The sequence below is a fragment of the Homo sapiens genome, chromosome 5, assembly GCF_000001405.40.
Source record: "Homo sapiens chromosome 5, GRCh38.p14 Primary Assembly".
Lineage (NCBI taxonomy): Eukaryota > Metazoa > Chordata > Mammalia > Primates > Hominidae > Homo > Homo sapiens.
The window spans coordinates 168,024,415-168,045,485 of record NC_000005.10 but is presented as its reverse complement, the minus strand read 5'-3'; the positions used below and the strand labels follow the sequence as shown (position 1 = coordinate 168,045,485).

General features: G+C 43.3%; 1 protein-coding gene and 1 pseudogene across 33 annotated transcripts in view, besides 1 other annotated feature; one reads left to right on the top strand and one right to left on the bottom strand.

The window, feature by feature from the left end:
* TENM2 (teneurin transmembrane protein 2) overlaps positions 1-21,071 on the bottom strand; it is a 1,285,129-nt gene that overhangs the window by 218,672 nt on the left and 1,045,386 nt on the right. The gene's annotated exons all lie outside the window — the stretch shown is intronic.
* Positions 5,608-5,902: a silencer, noted in NCBI's record as "tiled region #1255; HepG2 Repressive non-DNase unmatched - State 21:Repr". NCBI's record gives its function as "represses a minimal TATA promoter and a strong SV40 promoter by Sharpr-MPRA in HepG2 cells {active_cell/tissue: HepG2}" and the evidence as "EXISTENCE:reporter gene assay evidence [ECO:0000049][PMID:27701403]".
* Positions 12,281-12,395, top strand: LOC124900211 (uncharacterized; annotated as a pseudogene).

Genomic DNA, 21,071 nt, shown 5'->3' with positions numbered 1-21,071 from the left:
GCTCTTATAGCACTCAATCTTGCCACTGTAAGGTGCAGAACATATTGCAACCATCAGCTTTGGGAGAAAAGGAAGCAAACAATCCCCTAATGTTACTGAACAGGAAGAGACATCCCTGCAACTGTGTTTCCTCTGTTTCCAAGGATGCCTTCCCTCTTGCCTCCCCTTCCCACCTTTTTCTTTGTTTTGGGTTCCATGGCATCTTTTTATTTTTATTTTTTAAAAGTATCCTGAAAATAAGAAAACTACAGATGAGGTGGAAAGGGTTAGGGTCAGAGTACACCAGTAACTTCTCAGACAACTCCCAGGAGTGAGAAGAAAAATAAGAAAGTGAGATGGAGGTGGAGAAGGGGAAAAGCCAAATCTGCTGAACATGAGACCTGTCCTTCCAAAAGAAGCAATGCAACAAAAATGAAACTCAAGTTTGGGCATATTTTCTGTTGTTGAACTGAACATTAAGTAAATAAGTGAGAATTATATCTGGGGTATAACCACCTTCTCTTGTTTTTTGGGAGCGTCTGAAATAGGTTTTTGTTGGCACTTTTTTTTTTTTTTAATCAGCCATTCTTTCTCTCTCACTTGAGTAAGAAAACGAGATGCTCTCTCTGGCCGGTGGGGAGGGACTAAAGTGTCCTTAGGATAAAGACCCCAGGGAGCTGTGAAGTAAATGAGTTTCCTGACTAATGAGAGCCCTATTTCTTATTCTGCTACTGATTTGCTCTATGGCTTGGGCTGAGAAATCAGTCTCTCAATCAATCTCTCCCTTTACCTTTCATAAAGGTTTCCCTGTACAGGTAGAATAATGGCTCCTTAAGGGCCACAGAGAGGTTACACATCTGCAACCCCCAAAAGATCTGACAGTGTCTTGAATATAAATGGCACTCCATCAATATTTATTAGAATAGATAATGATACACGGGGGGCAGATTTGGGGGGTTGGATTGTAGGATGTTATATGCTTATAAATTAAAAAACACATAATCAGAGGCATAGAAGATGGGATAAAACAGTGCTGGTAGCAATATGGACTAGTTTGCAAAGGGAAGGATATTTTAATCATCAGCATATCAACACCTGCTGCCAATCATTGAACCTTTTCTTTTAGTGCAGTGGCGCTATCTAGGCTCACTGCAAGCTCTGCCTCCTGGGTTCAGGCCATTCTCTTGCCTCACCCTCCCGAGTATCTGGGACTACAGGCGCCCGCATGCTTGGCTAATTTTGTTTTTGTATTTTTAGTAGAGACGGGGTTTCACCGTGTTAGCCAGGATGGTTTTGATCTCCTGACCTCGTGATCCACCCACCTCGGCCTCCCAAAGTGCTGGGATTACAGGCGTGAGCCACCGCGCCCCACCATCATTGAACCTTTTCTATAGCCAGGTACCATAGTAGACATTCTAAAGGCATTATCTTAAGACTCACAGGTAGGTACTATTATCAACCCCATTTCACAGATGAGGAAACTATTGACTGTGAAGTTTGAGAACAGGGATTTCAGAATCAGAAGGAAATTACTGTGGGAGGTGGCTATCTGCTTCATATTTCATAGTGATCTGGTTACAGATTCTATGGGTAATGGAGTCTCAGCAAACCTCTTCTTTGTTTCAAAACTCATAATAATCTCATTGGGGTTGGTGAATGACCACACCCCTTCCCGAGAGGGGTTAGATTTCTTTATACTGTTGAATTCAGCACATACTTTATCACATAGCCATTCTGGGTCTTCAGTGAAGATGACGTGGGCTACAGCCATGGCTGACCAGTGATAGAATACAGCATGTATGAAGACATGAACTGTTACTGTTATAAGCCACTGAGAGTTTGGGATTGTTTGTTACAGCAGCCTGTCTGAGGCTAGCTTGACTGATACTTTCACCTATAAGGAAACTAGGAAATGGCATTTTTATACAGCAAATCTCTGTGCATCCCTTTAGGTTTTATTGGGTTAAGGTCCTTTCTGAAACTCAGCCAGAGAGAATTAGCACATACTTTGGGCCACTATATTTGCTTCTATGAACAACAACAAAAAACAGCACTGTAAATGTGATATCATCATACCTCCAATTTTAATTTACTCTCAGAACCAGACTTAGAAAGCTGAGCTGGATGGGGTGGCTCACGCCTATAATCCCAGTGCTTTGGGAGATTGAGGCAAGAGGATTGCCTGAGGCCAGGTGTTCAAGACCAGCCTGTGTAACATAGGAAGACCCTATCTCTACCAAAAATTTAATTAGTTAAAAAAAAAAAAAGAAAGCTGAGAAACCTCAGAGTAGCCAGAGTTATTGCTGCTTCATCTCAAGATTTCAAATAAATGCTGGTCTCCTCAAGAGATCCTGGATGCACTGGGGTGGTTCCCTCTCCCGCCCCACCTTGAATGCTCTAGCAGTTCATCCCAAAAGGCCTGGTCCAAATCATCTGGGGGTCAAAAGTGAAATGAGTTTGGGAGGCCCTCTCCCTAACATTCCTCCCTCTCACTGACAGCCAAAATGTACAATTCATCATGATCTGACAGGCTCCGCTTCAGAGAGACCCTCGGGCTCCATGGGTCACTAAGGATGGGATGGGGAAGGGCTCTGAGCGGAAACTCATGAAATCCAGGTGGCAGCTGGGAAGCCAGCCACTTAAAACACAATAGGCAGCCAAACTCTGAGAGTATCCCTCCGGCTAATTGGAGAAAACTTTCTTGGCATTCTGAAGGGAACCAAGACAGGATGGTGGGACCACACACAGATCCCCGATTTCAGTAAGGATAATAAACAGACCTACGTGGAGTGAGGGTGTGATATTTTCTTATTGAAGTTGCTGTGTTTTTGTGCCAGGTGGGTTCCAAAGGCAATACTGCAAGGGAGTGACACCCGAGAAAGGGAGCAGGGTTCGTTGCGAGTAACTGAGGATTCTCCAGCAACCACAGGACAGGGAGATTATAGGGCCAGAAAAGTGGCAGCTTGGAATGGGGGTTGTATGAAATAGTAATTAGGGAATGTGTGGGCCCTGCTGGGTGCCACTTAGAACCTTCTGTGTTCATTGGCTGGCAGAGGATCAACCTGACAAGAGAGTCAATCAATATGTCAGCAATACTTCCCAGAGAGCTGCTCAGCCCCTGCTTGTCAAAGAGGGCAAACATGGAGGCCACGGATGCTCTGTGTTTGCCGAGCAGGCCCCCAGGAGCAGGGGGTGTCTTTAAAGATCAGACTTGTCGATACATAACGCGAGGAGGAGATTGGGCTTTCCCTTTGAAAATGGAAGACTGCAGGCCAAGCAGAGCTCAGGGAGCAGGAGGAGAGAGCCATGCCTGCTGGGTCTTGGGGCTCAGCATGCCATCAGATACACAAGGGCCTTAGAGATGATGGCAGAGCTCATTCAGAGACCAGGTAGGATGACAGAAAGGGTTAGGGCTGGGTCTCCGTGCCTCTGCACCAGCCAATTAAGTCAACAATGTCGGGGCTCCTGGGGGAAATATACCAATTCCAAAAGTGCCACTGCTGGGAGGAGAGAACCACAGTGGAATAATCAGGGCTAACATGCACAACTGCTTACCCTGAACTTGCATAGGCAACCTGCAAAGGCCCCTTTGCAATCAGCAGTGAAAATTAACACATGTGAATAAGTCTACTCAATGGTGATGGTGACAATTAACGTTCATTTTGACCATGTGCCAGGTATTGGGCTCATTATTTGCATGCAGCATATATTCATAATTTGCCAGTCAGCACATATTTACTAAACACCCACTGGGTGTCAGATGTGTCCTAGGCACCAGGAGTAAAGCAGTTTTAACAAGACAAAATCCTTGCTGTCATGGAACCTACATTCTAGAGGCAGGTGTAGAAACTAAACACATAAGTGAAAAGCCAGGTTTAGGGTTCAGAGGCACTCGCAGGTGGGGGATGCATTGAAAATTTCTTCCTTTTTTCATTTAATGTAGTCTGGTCAAGGATGGCATTTGTGATAGGTAACATTTGAGCAAAGACATAAAGGAATTGAGAAAGCAGTTTATGCTGACGTCTGGGGAAGAGCACGCCGAAGGGGAGTGGAGTTAGTGAGAAGGAGGAGTGGTGGGTGAAGGGACGGGCAGGGTGAAGGAGTAGTTGCCTTTGAGGAGCTTTGCCTTTTGTTTGGAAGAGAAGGGATGACACTGGATTTTGAAGAAGATGAACGTTTACTTTTTCCCCTTCATTCTCACTGGATTAGGTGGTAATATAATCTACATTTTATAGATAAAGAAATAGGAGCTTAGAGAGGTTAAGAGACTTGCCCAAGACAATTCAGCCAGTAAGTGGGAAATCTGGGATTTAGACCCAGACACATGCAACTTCAGAGTCAGAGTTCTAAATTCCCATACTGTCCTCCTAGAGACTCCATTCAGAGTTCTCACTGGAGGACATCGGCCCTCTGAGGTTTCCAAGTGAACCACTACTTAGACAAGACCGAACAGGACAGGTAGGCTATAGAATCACTTACTTACTAAATATTGTCAAGGCTCACTCATGAATACACACTTCCCTTTGTAAGCAGCCATTAGTCTCTACGAATATGTCCTTGGTTGGCAACTAGTTTGCTATTTAACTTGAACCACCATTGTCAACGTAAAATAAATCTGCTCGGCAACTTCAATTGCCAGTCAGGCCAGTCAACAACATGTTTGGTGTTTTTTCCCTTGTCAGTTTGCTTGTCATCCTTTGGGGATGCAGTTGAGTGCAGTGCCTCTTCCTCAAAGAGGAGGGGGCCCACTGCAATGTATTATTATTTTTAGGAATGCTGTCAGTGCCAAAATTACCTTCAGCCTGAAAGAAGTAATGCAAACAAAACTATGTGGGATAACATTCTTGGAAATGCCTTAAGTCTTAAAAGGAGTTTAAAAATTTAAATCTTAAAGGGTTACCAAAAATCCTTTTCTAACCACCTTGGTGAAGTGATTTCTCCTATTTTTCCCAGACAGTGTTGCAATACACTGAGTGGAATGAATTTTCAAAGCACTGCATGGAAGTTACACCCACAAATCCCTTTAACGGTAATGGGATTTGTGCACCTATCTCCCGAGAATGTTCTGAAAGCTTACTAGCCTCTGTCCGACTTCCAGCTTGCAGCTCCAAATGGTTGCAAGGCTTATGGCTCAGGAATTACAAAGAAGAGGAAAGATGAGAGGCAGATACAATCCCAGAATCGTGGCAAGATCATCAAAATGAGAGGGGGCATTGGAGAAACTCACCTGCATTCACCTCTCTAGAGGAACTCAAATCTTCCAGCTACAGTCCCAAAACTGTCCTCAGCAGGGATTTTGTCTGCTGCCTTCCTACTTCTAGTCCCTCACAAAAGTAGCAAGGCTTTCTGTCCCCTCCTTTGTGTCTGCCATGAGAACAAGGTGATAGTTGCGTGAGGCAGCTCTGGGATCAGGGAGCAGTGTGTTCTTGAGACAAGAAGAATCCACAGGGAAAGACCAGAGAATTAATCTATTCTCATGACAGGCTCAGGATGGTACAGTGAGTGGGAGGTGGTACGAGATTAATCAATTGCTGTGTTTGCAGAAAACAAATGGGGCTCCTGTCAGCTTCAGGATGCGTGGGGCTCCCCGACTGGCAGCGTCCCTCCCCTTGTCTCCTGGAACCCGCTGCTGCAGGTGCACTGCAGGTGGGTGCTGTTGACACTGCGAGTGTGTGGCATCTGGTGTGCCGAGGTGACCTCTAACCACACCCCCTAGCTCTCAGCATCACTGGAAAGATCAATACATAAGAAAGACACATGTGCTCACAGCCACTTTCTTTTCCTTGTGCGGGGTGGCCAGGAATGCACCTGACTGGCAATGCTAGTCAGGCATCCTATTGTCCACCAAGTCAGCTCAGCCTCATGCAGATAAACACAAGCCTGGAGCCATTAGCCGCACAGAGTGTCGTTTCCCACCGCAGACCACCCCGTTCCTGCTGCAATTTTTTTCCTGGTTAAGAAATAAAAGCTTTTCTTTCTCCAAGAAAGGACCCATGTGATCAAAATACCTTTAGAGAATGATAATATCGGTAGGTTTTATTCACCAAATAAATCATGGTCTGGGATTTTAAGAGCTTTTCTGATAACGAAACACATCCCCACAATACACACATCTACACCTAAATGGATCTTTCTCCCCTCCGAGCTTGTCATTCACTGTTGACAACCCAAACAATATTTGTCTTTCTTCAAAGAACGGCAACCAGCAGCCCCGTTAAAGAGGGGCAGATCGGTGAGACCACTGACTACAAAGGAAAGAAGACGCAGGCTGCACGTGGCACGCGGCCACCAGAATCCTAGGAAGCAGACATTATGAATGTTTTAGAGGATAAGATGTCATATCGATCCGTAGATGTGCAATGAGCACTGGAACAAAGAGAAAGAACTCTCTCGTGAAAAATAGCCTTCTGCAAGGAGGAGAGGCAAGGGGGTCAGAGTGTGCCAATTAGGACACCCGAGATACTCCATTCCTAGGGCACTTTCTCCCCTCAGTGGCTGCAGGCAAGGGAGGAGAGGGTTGGGATTTATTTCCCTTCCCAAGTCCCCAGCAGCCCTCAACAAACTGCTCCCAGTGAGCCCTCTGATCTGAACTCTGGAGCCCACAGGCAGCCATCCTGAAACTGGGGGAACATGCCAGGAGGGGCCTTAGGAACCAGGTATAAGGGAGGAAGGATCTCCCTATCCTGGATCTCCATCCTGAAACTGGGGGAACAGGCCAGGAGGGGCCTTAGGAACCAGGTATAAGGGAGGAAGGATCTCCCTATCCCAGATCTCTGGGATATATATGCCAGGTTCATGTCAATCAGGGTTCACATTTCTGCACAACTATGCATAAGCGGATACCTTGGGCAAACAGATTTACCTCTCTGAGCTTCACTCTCCTTAGCTATGATAACAACTAACATTTTTGTAACGTACTGACTCAGTGTCAACCACTGTTCTAAGCCCTCTATATGCTCACCTCATTTGCTCTTTACAGTAAACCTAGAGGTAAGAACTATGATTCCCATTTTACGGAGGAAGGAGTGGAGGCATAAAGGTGTTGACAGGGTTGGTAGGTGGGGCAGCTGGTTTTAGAGCCAAGTGTGTGCTCTTAGCCACATTTTCTTGCTCACACTGACCTTATAGGGTGGAGAAGGTGCAAAAGTGGTGAGGATCTGGGTGGGGGTAACCGGCACACAGGAGGCACTCAAGAAACATCTCACCTCCTGCTGGGTCTTGGGTTGTTTTGTAACAATGGTGATCATGGCTAACTCTTATTGAGTCCTTTGCATGTGCCAGGCTCTGTGATAAGCAATTGTTACGAATTTTATGAGATATATAATGCTTTCCCATCTTGCAGATGAAGAAATTGAGGCTCAGAGTGCTGAAGTAACACGCAGCTGGTAAGTGTTAGAGGTGGGATTTGAACCTGAGCTGTGTGACACCTGAAGCTCTTGAGTATCACTCCATCCACTGACAACCATCAGCTCAACACTAAGCATCAGTGAAGAATGGGGTTCTATTCACCTAGGTATTATTCTCTCATTTGCCTGAACCCCCTCCTTCAGAGAAACCTCTGTGGTTTCCTTTTCTGTGTCACATTAGAATGGCAGAGGTACTGTTAAGATGGGCCTCAAAGGCCATCTGGTCCAGACTTTTGCTGTATAGACAGATGGTGACCCTGAGCCCTACTTAAGTGAAATGACTTGCCTAGGGTCATGACAGCTAATGGCTGACTGAGCCAGGATTTGAACCTTGATCTTTGGACTCTCTGGTGCTCTCTCTACTGTCCTCTTCCATCTCCTTAAAGAAAGACAGAGAATTCTGGTGTCTGTGTGCAATGTAATGCCTTATTAAAGACAAAATGAGGTGGACTTCAGAGAAGCCTCCTCCTCTTACCCGCTTAATATTTTTATTACTACTCTTTGCAAGGTAGGGCATGAACAAAATAACCTGTTAATAAAATTAGCCAAAAAAAAAAAAAAAGACCATTATGGTCCTTTCTGATCCTAAATTCATTAAATTGAGTTTCTATGACAAATATCTTCTACTGTAGAAGTTTATTCACAGCTAGAATCTAAAATCACCATTTTTCTATTTCTACCTGGTTTGACGCCATTGTGGTCAATATAGATATGTTCCCTCCTGCATGCAAACTTGGTACTTTTTCAGGAGTGAGAAATGAGTTGAAGAAGTAAGGATGTTGAGCAAATCCTGTATGTAATTCTCATTCCAATTTGGTCATTTGTTCAGCAAAGCCAAATTAGGCACATGGGGAGGCTGCCAGAGTCCTTTTCAATTTTTAATTTCTGACATGGTTAGCTCAAGATTTTTTCAAACTCAGAAATAAAAAAAAGTCCTGTATTAGCAAATTGGATTTGATCTCTCTTGCAAATGGTTTTAAGTTAAGTGGATTTCACATAGCTAACCTGAAACATTTAAAACTTGATTCTGATGGAAAGAAACATCACGTTAAAAAAATTAGTTCTATCTCCCAGGGCCTGATTAGGTAGCAGGGAATGAAAACACAGGCAAGGGGTAGTCCTCCTCAGCCTCTGATATGCTTAATGTCAGTATGGTCAGCTTCTTATGAGGAAAGAGCTAATCTGGGGTGGGGTGGGGGAGGATAATTTCTTTTTGGAATGTAAGCTACTTGCATCTATAAAAAAGAACTACATTTTCATCTGCAATTAGATAAGTGATACAAGTAGACTTATTTTGAATTTGTGACAATTTATATATATATACACATACGTATATATATACACATACATATATATATACACATACGTATATATATACACATACATATATATACACATACATATATATATATATATATATATACACATACATATATTATATATATATATATATATATTTTTTTTTTGATGGAGTTTCGCTCTTGTTGCCCAGGCTAGAGTGCAATGGTGCGATCTCGGCTCACTGCAACCTCCACCTCCCATGTTCAAGCGATTATCTAGCCTCAGCCTCCCAAGTAGCTGGGATTACAGGCACCCACCACCATGCCCAGCTAATTTTTGTATTTTTAGTAGAGATGGGGTTTCACCATTTGGCCAGGCTGGTCTCAAACTCCTGACCTCAGGTGATCCGCCTGCCTCGGCCTCCCAAAGTGCTGGGATTACAGGCGTGAGCCACCACGCCCATCCCAAGAGAGCTAATTTTAAGGGTTTTATGTGACACTCAAGTCACACACATTTCTTTGGTGCTAAAGGCACATGATTCTGTCAACCGGCAACAGCACTGCAGACTGTTGTGGCATTTCTGGCTTATACAAGGCATTGCAATGACAGCAGAGTGACATTCGACATGGTCATTATGTGTCCCCCTCCTCCTTATGGCTTATGATCCCATGCCGGATCCTAACTCCATGGAAATCCCCAAGCCAGGCCTAACCTAATACATCTCCCAGGTAGGGGCTGGTGTCTCCCTTAACACTGGCCTGGGAGAGCTCTCCCTGACCTGCATGCTCAGAGCTAAAGAAAGATAGGCACGTTTGGAAAGTTCCCCAATTTGTTTTCATTGCTTAGCTCTTTTAGGCCAAACTTTCTCAATGCATCTCCTACTAGTCTTATTTGATTCATTTAAGCTTTACAGGACACTCACGAGGCAGTTACTTTTTTATCCCAATTTTAAAGATGAAGAGACCGAGGCTTGTTGCAGTTCTATGACATACCCAAGGTCTAGGGTTGCCGGGTTTTAATTTATAAGTTTGCTAAATCTGGCAACTCTAGCAAGGTCCTGTAGTTAGGACGAAACCTCAGAGGCACTTCTCTTCTCCTGCAGCCCCAGAAACAGCCTTTGAATCGGTGCCCTCAGATCCTTTAAGCTTTGCTCTAGATCTGTCAGAAAGAATTGTCCAAGGTGACCGAAGTTGGGTCTCTTCTGAAATGTCCACATCTTCTGGAGTTCTCTACTGTGAATGTCATTTGCATTCTGCTGTAATCAGCACTGTCCAATAGAAATAAAACACAAGCCACTTATGACTTTTTTTTTTTTTTTTTTTTGAGACAGGGTCTCCCTCTGTCGCCCAGGCTGTATTGCAGCAGCTCTATCTCAGTTCACTGCAAACTGCGCCTCCCAGGTTCAAGGGATTCTCATGCCTCAGCCTCCCGAGTAGCTGGGATTACAGGCATGCATCACCATGTCTAGCCAATTTTTGTATTTGTAGTAGAGACAGGGTTTCGCCATGTTGGCCAGGCTGGTCTCAAACTCCTGACCTCAGGTCATCTGCTCCCACAGTACTGGGATTACAGGCGTGAGCCACTGCACCTGGCCCACTTATGAAATGTAAAATTTTCTAGTAACCACATGAAATAAGTAAAAAAATTTTAATACTATGCTTTTTACTCAATATATCCAAAATATTATCAACATAAAATCAACATAAAAATCTTTAATGAGACAGTAAAAAGATTTTTTTTGCACTAAGTCTTCAAAATCTGGTTTGTATTTTATAGTTAACAGCACATCTCAATTCAGATGCTAAATTTTCAACAGTTAAAGTGAAACATCATCTTGCAAAAACAATAAAAATGTGCTGAATGAAAGTATTTTATATCATTTGAGTTTTTAAATGTAAATTAATTCAGTTCTTCAATTATACTGAACACATTTCACAGAGGAGGTCCTAGACCACTGTGGCTGACAGGATTTTTCTAAGCTGATCTCCTCCTGCATGCTCTCTGGACATTTTATCATACTATTTATTTATTTTTTATTTATTTTCTTTGAGATAGGGTCTCCCTCTGTCATCCAGGTTGGAGGGTAGTGGTGCAGTCATAGCTCACTGCAGCTGTCTGTCTCCTTGGCTCAAGTGATCCTCCCACCTTAGCCTCCCAAGTAGCTGGGACTACAGGTATGCGTCACCATTCCTGGTCAGTTAAAGTTATTATTTTTTATTATTTTTATTTTTAATTTTTTAGTAGAGATGGCGGGGGGTGGGGGGTCTCACTATGTTGCCAGGCTGGTCTTGAACTCCTGAGCTCAAGTGATCCTTCCATCACAGCCTTCAAAAGTCCTGGGATTACAAGTATGAGCCACCACGCTTGGCCTTCCCTGGATATTTTATAACCACACCACTTACAGAGTTTATGGCTTTACACTGGTAATTACCTATTTATTGACCATCCTGTTCCCCCTCCAATTTTTTTTTTTTTTTTTTAGACGGAGTCTCACTCTTTCACCCAGGCTGGAGTGGAGTGGCGCCATCTTGGCTCACTGCACCCTCCCAGGTTCAAGTGATTCATTCTCCTGCCTCAGCCTCCCAAGTAGCTGGTATTACAGGCACGTGCCACAACTCTTGATTAATTTTTGTGTGTGTGTGTGTGTATATATATACATATATATATACACATATATATGTATACATATATATATATACACATATATATGTATACATATATATATACACATATATATGTATACATATATATACACATATATATATATATACACACACATATATATATATATTTGAGACGGAGTCTCGCTCTGTTGCTCAGGCTGGAGTGCAGTGGGGCGATCTTGGCTCACTGTAAGCTCTGCCTCCCAGGTTCACGCCATTCTCCTGCCTCAGCCTCCAGAGTAGCTGGGACTATAGGTGCCCACAACCACACCTGGCTAATTTTTGTATTTTTAGTAGAGACGGGGTTTCACCATGTTGGTCAGGCTGGTCTCGAACTCCTGACCTCAAGTGATCTGCCCACCTCAGAATCCCAAAGTGCTGGGATTACAGGTGTGATTACAGCTACCATGCCTGACCTCCCCCTCCAAATTTTGAGGCATGAACACATTGAGAGGTGAGAGTAGGTCTTCCTTCCCCTCTTTCAAATTTGTCCCCACAGCTAGCATAAGCTTTAGAACACAGTAGTGTTTAAGAACTATTTATTTGAATGAAAGAATGGCTTGAAAACTTCTGTCTAAAAAACTACAATTAACTGAGGTCTGGGAGTGTGCCAGGCTAATAATAATGATAATAGTCATAAACAGTGTCTACTGAATTCTTATACCTGCTTTTAAGACATTTCTCATTGATCATTAAAAAAAAATCACCTTTGAGGTAGCAAGTATCCTCACTTTACACATAAGAAAACTGAGACTTAGAGAGATTAAATAACCTGCCCACTGCCACCTAGCTACTAAAAGCCAGAGCCAGGAATACATAGATGTGTCCTAACTGCATTTCTAGTGCTTCCTTAACCATAGTCATCATTTACTGTGTTCATGGTTTTCATGAAATCTAAGCTCCACTTAGACTGTTATTTCTTAACTACATTTTAAAATCAGTCTCCTTTTTAGCACTTGTGTTTGCTTTTGTTTGACTTGTGGACAAAGACTTATAGTAGACAGGCACGAAAAAATAAATCCTCTTTTGCAACCCATGAGTTGTTATACATGCAAGAAGGAATATTATGAAAAAAGAAAGAAAAAATAGCAATCTATTTTTTAAAAACTTTAATCAATTTAGCCTCATCCCAAAGTAATATCTGTGAAATAAAAAGCTTAATGTGTTAAGATTTTTGTGACACATTGAAATGAACATAACTATTGTAATACAGAAGTGTGTCCACATGCTACACATAGCCATATGGTGATATGACTACCATACCTGGGTAAATATTACTCTCTGCTCAGTTACACCTAACCTCTAACATTGGTCTTTCTGTTTCTAAAGATCCACCATTATTTCTGCATTTTCCCCTTCCTCTCACACAGTGGTCTAGGAAGGAAAAACACCAGCGGCTGAGGAAAGGCTGGAAGGGAGGCTCTCCCTTGCCTGCCTTTTCTCATTATTTCTAGCTGTAAAAAAAGCAAGACACAAGCAAACCATAAGACCTAACTCCCCACTGCCTCTGCCTTGAGGGTTTTTCTTTGCTTCTTTAGAAGCCAGAGGACAAAAACTGCTTCAGGGTGGCTGGACCTATGGGATCGGTCCTTCTCGCTTTGAGGTTTCCTGCCTTATTCCAGGGCAATACTAACAGAGTCTCAAAGCTATTCAAATCTAAGAGTCCTAACCTCCTCCCCTGCCCTACTTGCCTTTCTCCCAGCCCTAGAGGGTCTTCATAGCCCAGACTACCCCAGATGTTTCCTGGGCATCCCAGTTTCTACTTCATTCAATAAATTCACCAGCAACTATTGAGCCCCTACTATACTCCAGATATGGCAAACTCTCAAGGCAATTTTCAGTAAGAATCATAGCTAACACGAATATAGTGCTTACTGTTTGCCATGCACTGTTATAATAAGCACTTTAAATATTTAGACATGAAATTCCCCTTTTTGGAGATTAAATATGGTAGAATATCACCAGTTTCACATGGTTTAGCTTAACTATGGGAACTATGGGAGAGAGAGATTAAGTATGTTGTCCAAGATTAGTCTGCCAGTAGTGGCAGAGCTGGGCTTTGAACTTGGGGACTCTGGCTCAGAACACTTGACTACAATGCTTTCTGTCTCTTATACTGAAAGTGGCAGAAAAAAGAAAGCCTACTTCCCTCCAAAGCCAGACTCTACATTTCAGGTGCATTGTGGGTAAACTAGGCTTTTGTAGGAATAATAGACTATGGTGATTAGAGTAGCTTTGGAAGCAGCAGACCTGGCTTCAGGTCCAGGTCCCAGTCTTGGTTTTTAGTAGCTGTGAGGCTTTGGGAAAGCTTTTTTCTTTCTTTCCCTTCCTCCTTCCCTTCCTCCCTCTCTCCCTCCCTTCCTCCTTCCCTCCTTCCCTCCCTCCTTCCCTTCCTCCTTTCCTCCCTTCCTCCCTCACTCCTTCCTTCCCTTGCTCCCTTCCTCCCTCCCCTCCCTCCCTCCCTTGCTCCCTTCCTCCCTCTTTCCCTCTTTCTTTTCCTTCAGTTTTTCCTCCCTCTCTCTCTCCCTTACTCGATCCCTCTGTCTTTCTTTCTTTCCTCCCAGACCCTCATTTTCCTCATCTGCAAAATGGGAATCATAAAACTTCCTACCTCCCAGGGGGGTTGCCACATTCAATGAAATAAAGTATGCAAAACATTTATCTCAGTGCTTGACACACAGTTAAGAACCCGACAAAGAGCAATTATTGTGTGAACTGTCCAGAAGGAATATGGTCTGTCTGGAGAAAAATCTCTGAAATTCCAAATAGCTAGGTTACAAGCAAATAGCCCATTCCTAAATTTGAGATGGCTTGCCTTTTGAATTAAAATAATAGAAATTATGAAATATAGGAAAATACTTAGTGGTCACCTTCTCCAGACTCATTTTACAAAAGAGGTTATGGAGACCTGGAAAGATTAATACCTTGGCAGAGAGGACATTCATCTCTATTGAAAAGCACAGATCCCCGATCCCATTCACTTCCACCTCACTGCACTGACTCTTGAAGCTGCACTTTTGTGGTGAAGCTTGACAGAGGAACCTCAGATCAGCTGACCTGGTACACATACCTCATGCACATGTGAAATCAGTGGTGACACTAAGCAGTGGTCGGGGGGTGCAGTTGGGGTGGAAAAGGAAGGTGAGTAGGAAAATTCTAAATGATTTCCACCAACCTTCTCTGAAGTTACCACAAAAAGAGTCTCAGTAAAAACAGGGTCTTTCCTATGCAAGTGGAGTTTTAAGACGAGCCCCCAACCTCCCATTTTCCACCCAGACTGGCACCTTTAATCCCCTCCTGTATGTATTCTGGAGATGCCACTGTGTAAAAAACACATTAGATGGCAATAGTATTTTCTTCTTTTAATCCGATATCTGAAAATTCAGGGTATTTACATGATTAGCCTTGATGCTGCAACAGGGTAAAGCCTTGTGTAGCTTCATAGAGCTCCATTAACAAGCATTTCCTAACCTTCAACCCTGTGCCTGGTGTTGTGCTAGGTTCTGGGGATACAATGATTCTGAAGAGACCACTCCTGCCCTCAAAAAGCTCACTGTCTGGGCCGATGGTTTCGGGCTGTAGTTCCCAGACCAGCAGAATCAGCATCCCCTGAGAACTTATTAGAAATGGAAATTACTGGGCCATACTCCAGACCTGCAAATCAGAAACTCAGGGGTGGGGTCCAGGTATCTGTGTGTTAATGAGCCTTCCAGGTGATTCGGATGAATGCTCAAGTTTGAGAACCACAGGTATTGCACAAGGCTTGGCTGACAGCAATTAATGAAAGAGAACATGAAGGGAAGGAACAAGCTCCTCTTGTCTGTTTCTATGAAGGTGGAGGAGGTGAGAGAGCCCAGACATCTCCCTCCAGGTCTAGGCACTAGGTCTCTGCCCATACAGGTAGTGTGTCAGAAGCAGCTGGGAGGACGCAATATGGAAAAGAGATATTCAAGCCAGGGTGGAAAGATGAAAAAAAAAAAAAAAAAAAAAAAAAAAAAGAGCCAGAACCAGACTTGGGCCAAAGTAACATGGTAAAACAGGGACATTCTTTCTCAGCATGCCTCCTCTCCATCCAGTACCTGCCCTGTGTCCATTCTGCCTGCTCCAGGTGACCCATGATCAGAGAGACTCAGTGCCCCCCTCCAAACTCAGCAGTGCCTCTTGTATGAATGCTTTCCCATCACATCAGAGGTTTCCAGGACTCCCATCCAACTCTGTCAGAACTCTGCTTTCCAAACTATCAGCCACATCAATGGAACTTTAAAAAATCCGTTGGATCTTGATATTAATTATTAATTCATCCACATCCTCCCCACAACATCACACATTCTATCATTAATGGATGTGCAATTATAGGGAAGACTAACGATTTAAGCCAAACATATAAACTCTAAAGGTGGAAATTTTAGGCACGGTGCCAGTTAAGGATGACAGATATTTTCAGACAGAAGATATTTTAGACAGTGGCTCAAAGTGGCATGACAGGAAGGCTCCCTTCTCTATGTTCTGGTCAGCCCTGACTGTGGAGGTACTGACCTGAAGCAGGTGCACAGTTTGGCAGAGCAATTGCCACCCCTTCCCCACTATCAGGCACAGGGCTGCCCAAAGCCAGCGGATCCACCAAGGATATATTGTGGCTGGAGCATCTGATTGTAAACATCTGTCTATAAGCATTCCTAGGGTGAATTCCTCTTTCTTTAGTCCATCATGCCAAACTTGGGAGTTTGGGCTGGGTAGCTACATACTAGCATAGGATCCTTAGGGTTCAGCTTGTTCTACCTTAAGCAGGAGAGAGGAATTTTGTTTTGAAGGCTATGAAGGCAGGTTGTGAAAGTGAAAGAGTAGCTGACCAATGGTTTTTGCTATGGCTTGAATGTCTATCCCTCCCCAGAATTCGTATGTTGAGATCCTAACCAAGGTGATGGTATTAGGCAGTAAAGCCCTTGGGAAGTGATTAGGTTATGAGTGGGGTTGGTGTCCCTATAAAACAGCTAGATAGTCTCTTCCACCATGTGAGGACATAGCTAGAAGGTGCCATCTAGGAACCAGAAATCGAGCCCTCACTGAATCTGCAGGTGCCTTGATCTTGGACTTCCCAGCCTCCAGACCCAAGAAATAAGTTTCTGTTCTTTAAAAGCTAGTCAGCCTCTGGCATTTTGTTATAGCAGCCTGGCCAAATTAAGAGAGGGTTTATCCCTAAGGGGAGGACCATGGGCACAGAAAGTAATATTCCCATGCCCTTGGGCTACCAGGAGAAAAGAGAGCTCCACTTTCCCAGTTTCACTTTTAGGGACCCTAGTTAAGGACTCTAATTGGCTCAGCTGAGGTCACAAGCCCATTTTTTTTTTTTTTTTTTTGACAGTTGCTATGGTGAGGAAAGTAAGATAATAACATCAACCCTGCTCGATTTAGGGACCCAAAAAGGGTGTTGGATACAGACACAGCCACCAAGTAAACTTGCCAAACTTAGCAAATAAAAACTCAGGAAGCCAGTTACATTTGAATTTCCCACACAATATTTGGGATATATTATATTAAAAGCATTTTCATTATTATTCTGAAACTCAAATTTAACTGGGCATCCTACACTTGGCAACCTGTCACCAAGGGAACTGGTGTGAGCCAGGCAGACTCCTCTTCATTTGGTGTCCACTACACCTTGTTTAAAGCTTGAAGAAGTAGAGTTCTTTGGGGAGAAAAGCACTGCCCATGCCTAGAATCGCCCCTGAGCACCTTCTCTGTGTCACGCTGGGATGGGTCTCTGCCTAGAAGAGAATCCATATCAAGCCTCTACACTTTCCACAAAGTGTCAAAACTGCCTGGCTGTCTCGTGTGTAAAGCATATGGACTCCTCTTTTTATCAACCACAGTGATTCCCGGGTGGAACCTGAGGATTTATCAGGAACTTCAGCTAGGATCAAATTGTGATTCTACTCTTGCCAAAGCTCCTTAGAGACATGTGATATTGAGAGAGGCGGCAGAAGGCTGACTGGCTGGTCCAACCCTGTCTCTCAGGCTGAGTGCTAGTGCCCTCCATAGAAGGCATACCATAGCCACCCTTCTAAGGTCTGCTCCTCTCTAGAATGGGCAGAAAACTTGGAACCCAAAGATCTCTGCAAGCTCCATTTGTGCCAGTGGTGTTGATTCTCGTAAATCCTCACTAAACTTGCTCTGCAGTTAGGGCACAGCCATTTTTTTCTCTTCTTTCTGGAAGGAAGTTTATTACACAAAGCAATAGGTGGACGTCTTCTTACTACCACATAAATCTGCCGTAGTACCTATGTGCTACACTTCTTAGACAGGAAGAACAAACAGTTGCTACTGGAACATTCCACACAGGGGAAAACAATAAAGCTAGAAACAAAAGCAAAACAGTAAACAAAACATATATAGAGATGTATTCTCTGTTAGAATCTTTAACACAAGATAGGGCCACGCAAAGCTGAGGTTCCATTATATTTCCGAAAGTAGAGGAACCAGACAGTTCAACTTGACTTTTCTTTAGACAACACCTTTCATTCTGGCCACGAGGAGTGATGTTTTCAGTACCAAGCATCCATAAAAGAACCCTGAGCACTCACATGGCCCAGAACATGGCACCAGAAAGCTAGAGGCAAAAACACGGAGCTCAAATTTGGGATACACAAAAGGCAGTCCAGGGCTGAGGTCAGTTCCAGGCAAGATTTGGAGCTGAGCACTTTTTTCTTTGTGTACTCCAGTCTGCTAGCAGAAGCTATGATGCCTGAAAAATCCTGTGTGAATTATCTGACAGTGTTAGAGAAACAAAAAGCCATTCTAGGGGCTTCTGGGCAGTATGTTTGGATGTAAGGGGGAGGCTGCATTTCCTCTTCTGGGAAAGCCCTGTGCACTTAGAACAGACTCCTTAATGAAGTGCCAATGATCTCAGAGTTGACCTTCAGAGTCCTTGCCCCACAGCCCCATGATCAGTACCTCGGTCGGGAGTCAAGTCTCAGTGGGTGACGGTACCTTGGCTCTCCACAGCGTGGGGAGTGTGCTTCTGTGTCATTTCACATGCACGTGTGTGTGTGTGTCTGTAGCTTATTTCCTGACAGGTGCACATGCAAGCGCCTAGTCCATGTGGAGGGATTATCATTTTAATAAGTAGTTTTAGCTAATTAGTTTATTCTTGCTGACATGGTCCCATTCCTCCTAATTTGATATTCTTATTTCATGTAGAAATTGGGAGGCTGATAGACCCTGGAATGGTTGTGAAGTGATTAATTTTCCTTGGTTTTATCTGTGTATGCTGGTATGTATTCTGGAAGGGGAAAACCTAGGTTTGTTTGGTTCACTGTGGTGTAAGCAGAACCTGTCACAGTAAAAATCTATTTTATTTAGTGCTTACCTTTGGCCAAGCACTGTGCTAAGGGCTATTCAAGAATTATCTTGTTTAGTCTTTATAACCTCCCCTATGAGATAAGTGCTATTATTGTATCCATTTTACAGGGAGGAAACTGAGTCGCAGTGAGGTTAAGTAACATAGCTGTGCTCCTGTCACTGGTAAGTAGAAAAGCTGGGATGTAAACCCAGCAGCCTGTATTCTAGAGCCTGTTCTCTTTCCTTGTACCAGGAAACATTTGTTGTATAAATTAATAGCTATGTGGATAATTTACCACATATGATTTAAGTGCCTCTGATGACAAATCCATGGTTTCCATTCTCAGCTATCAGGCTCAAAATTCACATAATAAGCCCTAAAAATACTATCACTTTCAGGATTTCTCTCTGCCTCCATAAGTCGGCATCTCTTCTGCTGCTCATCCTAACTTCACCCTCCAGAGTGTGTGCTGTTCCCACAGTTCTATTGAGCTAATCCCCATCATGAGAGGGCTAATTGCTAATCCTCACGTCAGTGAATAAATGTTTAGGTGGACACTGCTTCTGCCTGTTATTTGCACTGTGAGAGGGGTCCCCAACTCTCAGAGGAATGGTGGGTCAAATCTCCTCAGGGAAGGACAGGCTTCTTGTGGCTGGAGCTGCTGTTCCTGGGAGGCCAAGAAGAGGCCCACCTGACATCATACCTTGAGAAGAGCAAAGAAATTACATCATACCTTGAGAAGAGCAAAGAAATATAAGCACTCCCAACTATGATCTTCCCCAGAGAGTTGTACAGACAACTTATTATTAATAGAAGTTGTGTTTTTCCCAGTTCCCCATCGCAAGTGAGCCCCCTTCATAGCCAGGGAGATAGGAGTTCCGCCTTTGGAGCTCAAATAGGCCCTCTCCCACACAGAGAGACTTAATTCCAACCTCAGGACGCACTGGCCAATGAAGCCTTTATTGCTAGCCATTGCAGCTCAGGTGGAAGTTATTTTAGTTTAAACAACTTGTGGGTGGTCTCTTCATGTTCAAGAATTTGCCTCCATCTTTTCATGTTCCACTTATACCAACACATCTTCAATGGCGGCATTTCTGGCAACCCCACAGGACACCTGCTCCTCTAATCTCATACCTGAACCACACAGTTGTGTTTGCTCTTTGGAACCCAAGCACATATGGTAGTCAAGAGAACATGGAAGGAAACCCTACCTGTATCCTACCCTATTTCCCAATGTAGCCACATAAACCTAATACTTAAACTTCTTCTTGCTACTTGGATTTCAATTTTCAGTCTCTGTTGGAGATACCAAGTGTTCTTGCTATCACATCATTTATTAATGTCTATTGTCAACAGAGAACAATTACCCAACACTAACATATATGAAGAAAAAAAAAGATTCTACTTTCCAAACCAATTTCCAAGAATTGCTACTATAGGGAAGTGTCAAACACTTTTCCACTTTAACCATTCTCAAAACTTTTAATGAATCTTTTCTTTTAAACAAATCATGCCATTAGCATGGATGCTATGCAAATGAAATGCAGGGCCTGTATTTGTTTGGCTTCCTCAAAATTGTTTCAGAAACCTGATCACATCAAATATTTTTCAGTTTATGCAAAACAGAACCTCCCAATACATTTTTTTTGAAGACCATGTAGTTTTCCATTTGCATGTGAGTCCCAAGTGGTAAATTTACACTTTGAATGTAGGATTAATAAATTTCCATGTGTGTACTGCATTTTGAAACTTAAATCATAGAGAAGTTACTTTTGTATGCCAAGGGCCTTACGAATCTGAAATCAAATGACCTGATAAGCACCTGGATGCTGGAGTTTAGCACAGAGATAACACGGAGGAAGCCTGTTTTCCTAGAGTAACATCATCTTTGCATTTCATATAGCATTCTTTCAAAACCTAATCTCAGGTCATCTTGGAGAATTTAGGGACAAGAATATACTTTTTGCAGCTAAGGAATCATTCAGAACCAAGGACTCACAAATCCGCACGTAAAACCCTCTTCCAAACTGCTCTTTCCCAGCCTGGCGAGTGGGCCCTGGCAGTGGCCCTTTCTTACTGTCAGGGAACAATGTTATGGCTTGAGAGAGCTATGCATGATCACACTTACTGTAGCATCAACTATTTTTTTCTTAATTGTCCTGAGATCCTAGAAAGGAAACAAGCGTCTGTGCTGACAGAGGAGCTCAGCGTGAACTCTCATTTTTCACATGGAGCTAATTAAAAACTGAAATTAGTTAAATATGGAAATGACACTTGCAAGCACTTTAGTAGAATTCTGGCAAAATCCCTCTGGAGTGCTGTGACATTACCTGCTGCTTCGAAACTCCCCAACTGAATTTCACAGTTAAAAGGCTGAGCAAAGGGAAAGTTATTATTGAGATT